The sequence below is a fragment of the Homo sapiens genome, chromosome 7, assembly GCF_000001405.40.
Source record: "Homo sapiens chromosome 7, GRCh38.p14 Primary Assembly".
In the NCBI taxonomy this organism is placed as follows: domain Eukaryota; kingdom Metazoa; phylum Chordata; class Mammalia; order Primates; family Hominidae; genus Homo; species Homo sapiens.
Window position 1 is genome coordinate 116866103 of NC_000007.14, and position 12035 is coordinate 116878137.

Below are 12035 nucleotides of genomic sequence, written 5' to 3' on the forward strand. Positions count from 1 at the left end.
CTGGGTGAATGGGAAATAAATTTAGCTGAAGAACACAATGAAGTTCTTTAAAGCTCTTAACTTGCTATAGTGTGTCCCATAGACTTTTTTTTTTTTTTTTTGAGACGGAGTCTCGCTCTTTCACCCAGGCGGTATCTCGGCTCACTGCAAGCTCCGCCTCCTGGGTTCACGCCATTCTCCTGCCTCAGCCTCCCGAGTAGCTGGGACTACAGGCGCCTGCCACCGCGCCCGGCTAATTTTTTGTATTTTTAGTAGAGACGGGGTTTCACCGTGTTAGCCAGGATGGTCTCAATCTCCTGACCTCGTGATCCACCCGCCTCGGCCTCCCAAAGTGCTGGGATTACAGGCGTGAGCCACCGTGCCCGGCCTCCCATAGACTTTTTTACATAGTTACAGAAACCCTAGGCCAAAAACAGTTCATTTTCATTCCTGGGTCAGCTGTATTGTACAGTAAAGCATTTTTGTGAATTTGAAATTGTATGAAATTATGGTGTAAGGCTCAATTGAAAAGACCCATTCCGAAACCTCTCTCTGGATAAGAGATTCAAGTTCCAGAAGGAATACACTTAGTTACTGATGGGAAAGATCGTTTTTCTTCCTGTAACCCTTTACCTCAGTGATTACAATAATCTGTCCCATAGCTTCAACTTTTAGGTCTTTGCAGTTGTCTCCCAGGTACATAGCTGTAGCACTAACTTCTTTCCTGATTACTGGTCAGATTTTTATCTGCTATTCATGTTCACTGGAGATGGTTAATTAGGTATGTTCAAATGGAGCTTGCCTAGAAGTAAATTTATAAACGCCCATCTTCTTTCCTCTCACACAAAGGGGGGTATAATCTACTCTTGATAATTTTTCTCTTTATATCTTTATTCCCATTATTCCAGTCATCCTGGTTTTTAATTTCAGATTTATTCTAACTTTTTTTGGCCCTGTACCTTACAATCAACTGGTAAAAGTTGTCACTTCCATCGTCAAAATATGTATTATACAAATAACTTATTTCTTGCTTGAAAAGTTAATTCATTTATATTAATACTTCGTTTATTATCTCTGCATTGACCTGATTGTTAAATAATGTTTGGTAACAAAATTTCACTGTACAAACAGAATGCAACTTGATTATACTTGTTCTGTGCCAACAGTTAAGAAGTAAAGTCAAGAAAAATGTCTCATATCTGTTCTTTCCCTTCTGTTATATTTGCCACTGTTAGGCTTTTACTAGAAAATTTCTAGACTAATCCCTCCTGTTTCCTGTATCTAAGCCATGCTTTACTTTGTCATTTCTCTACTCTCAAAATTTTAGTGCCTGGATCCTCCATTGCCTTTACAAGGAAGCCAAGTTCTTAAAATGGTATTCATGGCCTTGTATTCCATTTTAACCTAAATAGTTCTGACATTTTCAATACGTATTGTTACTTAATCGTGCTGTGAATTTAGAGAGACTTCAGAGAGCTGCATACTAGTCCATTTCTCTCTCTTTTTTTTTTTTTTTTTTTGAGACAGATTCTCACTCTGTCACCCAGGCTGCAGTGCAGTGGCACGATCTCGGCTCACTGCAACCTCTGTCTCCCAGGCCCAAGCAATTCTCCTGTCTTAGCCTCCTGAGTAGCTGGGACTACAGGCACACACCTGCGTCCCTAGCTAATTTTTGTGTTTTTAGTGGAGACAGGGTTTCGCTATGTTGCCCAGGCTGGTCTGGAACTCCTGAGCTCAGGTGATCTGCCAGCTTTGGCCTCCTAAAGTGCTGGGATTACAGGCGTGAGCGACCACTCCCAGCCACTGGTCCATTTCTAGCACCTCAGATAAATTATTTAATCTCTCAGCCTCAGTTTGCTCTGAAATGTTAGAATGTTGTAGTAAGTACCTTCTTCATTAAGTTGTTGTAAGTCTAAATGGGCTTGGCATGTAGTAAGCGCACAATAAATGGTAGTTATTTTTCTCTGCTCATGACTTTTCATCTACTTTGAGTGTTGGTACTGCTCCCAGGTCTGTCCCCTTTTTTGAAACATGAAAATCTCAGTCATCTCTCAAGATTTAGCTTAGATTACACAGCTAGTTTAGCCTCTCATCTGAACTCTTCAAGAGATCGTTAGTATTAAATACAATTTTGCGTAATAGTTATTTGCTTACCGTTTTTTCCCTTTTCCATTGGAATTCCTAAGTGGAGACATAATGTCATCTTTAGCATCTGTTGTTACTCTACCATGTGATGAATAGGATGGCTGTACCTGCAGTTTATATACTTCTCCCTCAGTGACTGGCTTCAGAAATTTTGTGTGTGTAAAAACAATATAAGCTGCCATTGTATTTCATAATATTAATGTAAAATTAGAAATGTTTTTATTGGCTGGGCGCGGTGACTCACACCTGTAACCCCAGCACTTTGGGAGGCTGAGGCAGGTGGATCACCTGAGGTCCGGAGTTTGAGACCAGCCTGGCCAACATGGTGAAACCCTGTCTGTACTAAAAGTACAAAAAATTAGCTGGGCGTGGTGTCGTGCACCTGTAGTCCCAGCTACTCGGGAGGCCGAGGCAGGAGAATCGCTTGGACCCGGGAGGTGGATGTTGCAGTGAGCGGTGATCGCACCACTGCATTCCAGCCTGGGCAATAGAGCAAGACTCCATCTCAAAAAGTTTAAAAAAAAATTCTTATTATTGAGAAGGTAAACTCAAGCAAAAAGCTATTAATGTGGACAATATTCATTCCTAATTCTATTCTATAGATAAATTATGTTATTTCACCAATAAAGTGTAAAAACTTCTGTTGCAGACAGGAACTTGATAGCAGCTGTAGCATTAGTGGAGTTTTTCAGACTTTGTACATTAAAGTAAATTTGTAGTAAATTTTCAGTGCATTTGGGAGCCATTTTTGCATGAGTAGTTGAATAGATAGAATAATTGCATGTTAGTGTGAGAATACAGATATGAAAACACTTAGAGCAGAGAATCTAAAATAATTTTTAAGGTTGAAAAGCAGGATGGCAAAACTTGGATCTGTGGTTCCAAGCTATGACCTAAAAGCCTAATCAGTCACCTGAAGCAAAAATTTGTTAAAGTTATTATAGCAATAATTTGTTAAATAGGAGATTCATGCATATCAAAGAAAATGGGGTCTTTGTCTTCTGAAAACCACTCTCTGACAGGTTCCATGAAAATACCCATGGCTGTTTCAAAAAAGAATTTCATAAATTTTATTTTGAGGATTAAGTATAGTTTTTGCATTCTTGCTCTTATGACATATTTACATGTTTCACTATGCATCTAATGACTGAGAACTTTTCTTATACATTCTAATTCGCAGTGTTTCTACTGGAAATGACTTTTGAAATCCATTTACCTCCATCTTCATTCATTTACTAAATATACCACATTTCACTGATTTCAGTACTGATACTTTTTTATATTTTAAGATCTCTGAAATCAGGCTGCATTGTACAATCAATGGGTTGTAATATTTCATTGGTAGCGTTTTTCCTTGTTTAGTGGTACATAAAGTTATGCATCTTATATTGATTGTGAATCAGGATAGGCAAGGATATAGTTCAGTAACAAAACTCCTAAAATCTCAGCACAAGGGTGTTGAATGTGGAGGCTTTGTACTGCATCTCATTCATTCCATGTATGTCTAGCGTGAGTTAGCAGAGAGCCCTGCTCAGGGAAGTAATTTAGCGTTCCAGTTGGTTAGAGAGCTTCCATCTAAACTTTCTTCTCAGTCACTGCAGTGGTGGGAAGGAAATGGAATGAATTGCACACTTGTTTTTTTTGTTTTGTTTTGTTTTTTTGAGACGGAGTGTTACTCTGTCACCTAGGCTTGAGTGCAGTGGCACAATCTCGGCTCACTGCAACCTCTGCCTCCCGGGTTCAGGCAATTCTCCTGCCTCAGCCTTCCGAGTAGCTGGAAGGAGCTCACGTCACTTCTGCTCAGATTTCAATTAGCTAAAGCAAGTTACATGTATAAACCTAATTTCAGAAAGGTCAGGGCAGAAGAGGAGAATTGGAATATTTGTGAATAGCAGTAATGACAGCATAGATTAAGTTTTAAATTCACTAAAGTGTAGCGATCACCTGGAAGGTAGATATAATGCAAAACTAGATTCGAAGAGGAATTGGACATATGTAATATACATACTAAATTGGGTCTAAAAATTTAGAAGATAGAAAAGCTACTTCTGCCTAGGGGTATGGTAAACATCAGTTGGGGTCAAGCTCATACCAGAGAGCACAACATAGGGAAAAATAACAGGAAAGTGGGAACAAGCAGGCAGTGAGTTTTGTGTAAAAAGAATTCAGTTAAATAGTTGAGTGTCTACTCTATATTTGGTACTTTTACAATAAGAGATGCAAAGGTGAATTGTGCTGTTTAACAGCTGACTGTCAGGGTTTTTCCATCTCATCAATGTTGACAGTTTGGGCCAGATATTGTTGGGCAGGTGGACATGCTGTGCGTTGTAGGGTGTTTAGCAACATCCTTAGCCCACATGATATGCCACTACCATAACCCAGGCTTACCAATCCAGAATGTCTCCTGGTGGACAGATTCACCCCTTGTTGAGACCCATGAGTCTAGATAGATTAGAGCTGGTAAGAACAGTTGAGAACCTGGCTTAAGTGGACTTTAGGACCTGGTTTAAGTTCGTCCCACAAGAAATGGAGGAAAAAAAGATCGCCAATAGATTTTAGAGTTGGAATCAAGAAGACTTGATAAATGAATATAGGGGAAAGGCGTGAGTCAGAGAAAACTGTGAACATTAAAGTCTGGATGACTGGGAATTGGTACCACTAGTAACAACTGGAGAACACAGGAAAGAGGATACACAGCTGGGAGGAATAATGGTGAATTTAGTTTTGGTTGTACGGAGTTTGAGATGCTAGTCATTGTCTATGTGAAAATGCCTAGCAGATACGGAGATAGAGAAACAGCTTGGAAAAGAGGTCAGCTCCAGAGATTATATAGAGATTTGAGAATCCTCTTTTTGTGGGTTAAAGCGAGATGGGATAAGCCCTTTAGGACAAAAAGCTTAGACATGGGAAAGAGGAGAGGGCAGGAAGCGTATACTTTATACTTTGATTTGAGGAATAAGAAGTGGAGAGAGACCTAAAGGTGAGGAGAAACCCTTGAGGTCGAAGTGTTACCTACTGATAGCTAGCACAGAGTAGGTGCTGAGGTCACAGAATGTGACGAGAATTTCAAGAAGGAGCGGTGCTCAGTGTTGCAGAGATTAAGGAGTATGAGATTGAAAAAAGCCTTTGGATTTAAGAGAAAGGAATGAGAAACAAATTATACCTACTCTATGCCAGGGACTTTAACATGTATTCTCTCTATTAATTGTCAGAATAACCTTGTTATTATCTTCATTGTACAGACAGGAAACTGGTGCAGTTAAGGCTGTTTAAGTGGTGGACTAGGGATTAGTGGCCTTCAAGAGAATAATTTTACTAGTGTTTGGAGCAAGGAGTGGAGAGACATAAGCCAGATAACTGGAGTCTATAATAAAAAGTATGTGTGTATTTTCCCTTTTCCAGAAACGGCATTTCAGTCTTGTTTGCCTTGTAAACTACTCATCTTTGGATAACCAGACTCAAGGACTTTCTTCTCTTCTTTTGTATCCTGACATACCTCTGCTCCCTAAGCAATTTGTACTTATCTTTGTTATAACATTTACCAGTTTTAATAAATTTACCTGTTGTCCTTATTTCCTGTGTTCTTCAGGGCCAGGCCTTATGTCTTCACCATCTTTGTAATTCCAGTAGAGCGCCTAGCCTGTATTAAATCAGTGATTTTCAACTCTGGCTGCACATTAGAATCAACTGGAGAGTTTATAAACAAAATGAACGCACAGGCTCCTCTTGTGGGTGAGGCCTGGAGTGTCTGTAATTCCTTTTTGTTGTTGTTGTTGTTGTTGTTTTAAAGCTTCCCAGGTGATCTGAATGTGCAACTAGGATTGAGTCTCACTGTATCACTGTATTAGGGGCTCAATAAATGTTGACTAAAGGATGAGGAGTGGAGACAGTAAGTACAAATTATTCTTGAAAAAAATTGGTAGTGAAACAAAAGAGAAAAATATGTATTACTACTTTGTTTTTTCCTGCTATTTCATTTTAAGAATACTTTTTTTTTGTAAGAGAACATTCTAGGGTGTATAAGGGAAATGATTCAGAAGGGAAAAGGAAATTGAAAACGTAAGATAAAGAATAGTTTACATAACTTACTTTCTTTTAGTTGATGATAATGCCTACTTTGGATTCATGGGTTTCTTCATATTTTAAATAAATGGTAAAAACATATTTAAAGAAGAATCAATGTTGAGTTCTTTAGATGACCCAGTTTCAGGTTAAGTGCTGTGGGCCCTGTTTTTAATTACCAATCAAAATGATAATTATAAAGGAAAAAAATTTAGAGGAAAACTTATTAAAACAAATTACCACTCTTAAGTTTACCCATATTAAGATAAATTCACCTGACACACAGACATGTGATAGTGATCACTTGGTCATAAACTATTTAAATGTCATAAAGTTCAAAAAAGTGGTTTTTTCCTCCGGTTTTACCTCTAATTCTCAAAAGACATAGCCATTTTTTAGAGAGCTGTGGAAGACAACTTCAAATAATTCTTTTAGTTGAAGTGGAAAAGTGCATAGTGGCTCCTTTAATTTTACTACCAGTGTCTAAAGCAGTGACCCTTTTTGGTGTTACATTTTCTTGAGAATCAAGTAAAACCTATAAGTCATTTCTCAAGAAGACTAGACACTTCAAATTTTACATCTGAAGTCCCTTAGGGCATGGGTGCAATATCTGGTCACCTTTCAGAATCACGTGGAGAGATTTTCTAAAACATAGATTTCTAGGTCCCCATTCTCTGGAGATAGATTCACTGGGTCTGGAATAGAGGGTGGGAATCTGTATTTTTTCCAAGCTTTCCAGGTGAGTCTGACTGCCGTTCATATCTGAAAAATTCCTACCCTAATGTCTCCTTCCTTGATCATGGCGGCCCATACCATGTGGAAATTATAGGGGCTCTAGGTAGGATTCTCAGATAAAATACTGATGCCTCAGTAAATTTGAATTTAAGCTAAACGGTGAGTCATTTTTAGTATAGCTATTTCCCATAGTAGTGTACCTTTGGACTGCTGGAGAGTGCAGGGTCCTTTGCTTCTAAATTTAATGGCTCTAGATGGCTGTTTGGGGGTTTTGTTTTTTGTTGTTGTTTTTTGGTGGTGTGTATGTGTGTACATGTATGTCTGTGTGCTACCATGCACATACATTGTCTGCTTTTTATACTTTCATCTCCTTTAAACCTTGCTTAAGGTTTAAAAAAATTTTTTTTAATTTTTGTTAGTTTACCATTTTTATAGCTGCTTTGGTGAGGACTCTATTTCCTGTTAAGGAATTGTTTTCTTCAGACAGTTTTAAAATCTCCTGGAACTCAAGTTTTACCTTAGTGTTTGAAAACATGTTGCCAAATGTTCAGCAAAGGCACTAGAACAATCTGGAGAATTCATGGACATAAGCAGGTGAAGTAACATTAATTTTGCCATCTATTTCTGTAAATTGTGGTAATGATTGACAACCCACAGTAAACTCTCACGTTGTACCCTCATGTTCTAGATGGTAATTATAAAACTGAAGTAGCACTACCAATTGCTTCTGACTTCCAGTAATAAACACATCTTGAAGAGGTGACATAGGCTGAGGGAACCCAGTCACTTCCACCTGTGGTACTTCACCATGGAGCTTGTCTTTGCTTGAGAAAGGTACATTCTGTACCATTAATGCAAAGAGTGACACAGTCAAGGATTGCAAGGCAGAAAGATACATGTGAAGCTTATGTTCATCCAGCCCTCCTTCCCTTTGTTCTCTTTCCCTGATAAGTTTTTCAGTCTTATTCAGCAATGTAGGTGTAAGATTGTACATTTCCAAATTCCATATTCCAAGTATCATAGGCCATTAAAAGTACTAGATGTTTTGCACTCACTACTTTTTCTGAGATATCACTCAAGGCCAAAGGCAACAATTCAAAAACCTGCTGATACTTGCCTGGTTCATCAGGGTATCCCATAATGATACCAAGGCTTTTGATCACAGCTTCTCATATCAAATATGCTTTACCTTCCATTTAAGGAGGACCAGGGAGTTAGGAACTTCTTGAGGAAAGTAAGGCACCACTACTCCACAGGATTTAGCTACAAGTAGTGTCCTTTTTGGGTCTTTGTGACTCACCTCTTCCCATCACTGTGGTAAATGTTCGGCTTCTGCATGTGTTGGTCCGACATGATGTGTGAATGCCGTAACACCAGTTAGTATCACTTGCCTTGGCTCTTTATCTGGCCTCTTGATCATACTAGAAAGAATGTGGAGAAGCTGATTTTTCTTTTTAGATTCAAGATGTAGGCACGTTGTATACAATCTGAGGGCATCAGTGTCTCTGTCTTTGCCAGCAGCACGTCAAGTGCAATGTATAGCAAGCAATATCCAAGCATCAGCAGAAGGTGTTTTTCACTGCAGTCAGAGACACTTCTGATCCTAAGCAGCATCTCCTGACACTTGACAAAAAGAAAGTAGTGCATAGTGGAAAGCAGAAGACAGTTTCCTGTGGGGTTTATCAAAGTGAACTGTGCTTTTACTTGATGGAGAAAACAGCATTCTTTCCTTTCTCTCCTAAGGGAAGGGACTGGGGAATTCTCTCTAAGAATAATGGAATTAGGCTGGGCACGGTGGCTCATGCCTGTAATCCCAGCACTTTGGGAGGCCAAGGTGGGTGGATCACTTGAGGTCAGCAGTTCGAGATCATTCTGGCCAACATGGAGAAACCCCGTCTCTACTAAAAATACAAAAATTAGCCAGGTATGGTGGTGCTCACCTGTAATCCCAGCTACTTGGGAGGCTGAGGTGGGAGAATCACTCAAGCCCAGGAAGTGGAGGTTGCAGTGAGCGGGGATGGTACCAGTATACTCCAAGTCTGGGCAACAGAGTGAGACCCCATCCCTCCCCCCACAAAAAAAGTGGAATCAACATTATCTGGTTTTGAAAGATGAATATCCTTTTTTTTTTTTCTTTCCTTGCCTGAACTGTTTATGACTGAAATCTGTTCATTTTCTTCAGAGTCTTGTAGGGATTCCAAAGAAGGTTGAATGGAATCACAAACTACCAAATGGCAAAGTGTTCATTTTTGAGGATGGCCATTTTAGGTCTTCTAATTTGCTCCATCAAAGAACATTTCTCACTATTTAATAAATTAATTTTATCTTCCCAATTTGTGTACTAACAAGGAGTTCTCTACAGGTTGAGGAGTAGAAACAAGTGAAAGAAGATTGCCTAAAATTGATATAAGAGCTTCTAATTCATTTTCTTTCACTCCACTAGCAATATCCATAAAATCTTTCCCAGTTACTTGATCACTTCCAAAGTCTCAGTAGATTTGCAATAAATTGGAGGGTTTTTTTTTTTTATTTTTTGTTTTTGAGACAGGGTCTTGCTCTGTCAGCCAAGCTGGAGTGTAGTTTCACAGTCATGGTTCACTGTATCCTTGACCTCCCAGGTTCAAGTGCTCCTCCCATCTCAGCCTCCCAAGTTGCTGGGACCACAGGTGCTCACCATCATGCCTGGCTAATTTTTTTTTTTTTAAATTTTTTGTAGATACAGGATCTCACCATGTTGACCAGGCTGGACTCAAGTGATCCTCCCATCCCAGCCTCCCAAAGTGTTGGGATTTTACAGGTGTAAGCCATGGCACCTGGCCAAATTGGACATTTTAAAATGTTTATGTTATCCCGTAACTCAAAGTTCTGATCATTATTTTCATCTGAGGTATTTATTGATGTAAACTTGGATTCTTCAATAAAAATTCAGTTACATAGAAGTTTAGAGGCCGGGCGCGGTGGCTGATGCCTGTAATCCCAGCACTTTGGGAGGCCGAGGCGGGCGGATCACGAGATCAGGAGATCGAGACCATCCTGGCTAACACAGTGAAACCCCGTCTCTACTAAAAATACAAAAATTAGCCTGGTGTGGTGGCAGGCACCTGTAGTCCCAGCTACTCAGGAGGCTGAGACAGGAGAATGGTGTGAACCCAGGAGGCGGAGCTTGCAGTGAGCGGAGTTCGCGCCGCTGCACTCCAGCCTGGGTGACAGAGAGAGACTCCATCTCAAAAAAAAAAAAAAAAAAGTTTAGAGCACTCAAGAGGTTTGACTGGCTCCTGAATTTCAGGGCTCAGTTTCTAATGTTTTCGTTCCTATGAAGGAACTTCATTTTCTGCAGCCTTTGTCAGGTTGGCTCAGATCTTCCTTAGTTAAAACGTTGTTGTATGTCAACCACTTCTCTCCTCCCTTCACATCCATTGGCTGATAGGAAACTAGATAATCACACTTGTAAATTTATGTCTGAGATAAAAATAATATGATCTGTGGAGAATCTCATGTTCTCTTCTAATGTTTAGACTATATTTGCTTTTAGACCTTATTTGCTTTCTTAAAACATATTTTTGAGTATCTGAATTCCTTGCTTCCTGTGTGCCTTGATATGTCCCCAGTTACATATCTTAAATTCAGGCTTCACCGGTAAGGTAAGTGAGATCTTGTTTTAATTGCCTCCTCTTCATTCCATTGGTGAGGGAGGGGTTCTTGCCCTGGAATTGGGAGGTTGACAGAACATACAAAACCTGACACTGGACAGATGAGATTGACAGCAGTTTATTAATCACAAATACTCAGCAGCCCAGGAGAGAGGAGACAGCACACCACGCAGGCCCACATGGGAGTTGTGCTTGAGGACGGAGTGAACAGTCAGGGGCTGTAGGAGGCAGACTTTAGTAAGTATCAAGAGGGTGGAGTGATCCCTGGTTCTCAGGACGTGATCCATTCATTGTTTGATAATTCCAAGGGCTGGCCGGGACCCAAAGCTTGCTACTCAGAGATAAGAAGGAACTGTGTCTGTTCCCTGTGATAAAAGATTGTTTGGCTAGGGGACCTTATCTGTGGGAGCAGAGTGAGGAGAACTTGCAGTTAGGCCATTCAGGGCTCTCCCTGTTTTCCCTAAGTGTCAAGGCACACGTAATATTGAGCCTTAATTTTAGTCTTTAAACCGCAAGTCTCAATAGTGCTAGCCAGTTATCAAAGGTATTTGCTAATGATTGCTGTACTAAATAATATACCAAGAAGTTTTTAATAGTATAATTTGATCTTAGAGTTTTCCTTTCTGTATGACCTTTTCTTCTGATACTTTGCAAAGTTTAAGATATTCTGCTGCTGTGTGCAGTTTCACCACAGTAGATAAAAAGATGGCCAAATCATGTATATGAAGTGATATGGCAAGCGGGAAGACGAGAGTTCTTGTTTGAGAGACCTAATGGAGTGATAAGGCTCCAGTTCTGTGTATATGTGGGATGAGAAAGAATGGATAGGTTGTAGGAGCTAGAAAGTGGCAGAAAGATTGCAAAGGTAGTAATAGCCATTATTTGAGTGCTTGCTCTGTGCCAAGCACTTTTCTAAGTGTATTATCTCATTTACTGCTAGTGAGGAAACTGAATTTAGTTTGCTTAAGGTCATGCAGGTAGTAAGCAGTGGAGCTGTAGTCTGAATCCCTGCTTAATGTTATTTAAGAGCTTTTGCTGTTAACAGTTAATATTTTACAGCCTTAGAAGAGCCTTATATATCATGCTAAAGATTTTGAACTTAATCTTGTTGGCATTGGGGAACCATCGAGTGATCTTGACAGGGAAGAAAAATCAGAATTTGCATTGAAAAATACCAGTCTGGTGGCAAGGTGGAAAATGAATTTTGGAGAAAGATGAGGCCAGAGGCAGGACAGCTTTATAACAATCCAGAAACAAAGTGCCTGGGTCTGAATAAAATGGAATGGAATCAAATAAAAGGGGAATGGACTTGAGCAAGAGACACTCGCTGATCATGTGACTGACTGTAGGAGAGAAGTGCGGAATGATTTCTAAGTAGTGGCAATAATTTTATCAGAACAGAAGGCAATACATTTGAATGATAAGTTCAAGGTATCTTTGAGGCATTTTGATGGAGATCTCTAA

At 39.7% G+C, this 12035-nt stretch overlaps 1 protein-coding gene and 1 pseudogene across 1 annotated transcript in view; one reads left to right on the forward strand and one right to left on the reverse strand.

Moving 5' to 3' along the window:
• The window catches only part of CAPZA2 (capping actin protein of muscle Z-line subunit alpha 2), a 59463-nt gene that overhangs the window by 3516 nt on the left and 43912 nt on the right, over positions 1–12035 (forward strand). The gene's annotated exons all lie outside the window — the stretch shown is intronic.
• Positions 7359–8705, reverse strand: LOC100418716 (RAB11 binding and LisH domain, coiled-coil and HEAT repeat containing pseudogene; annotated as a pseudogene).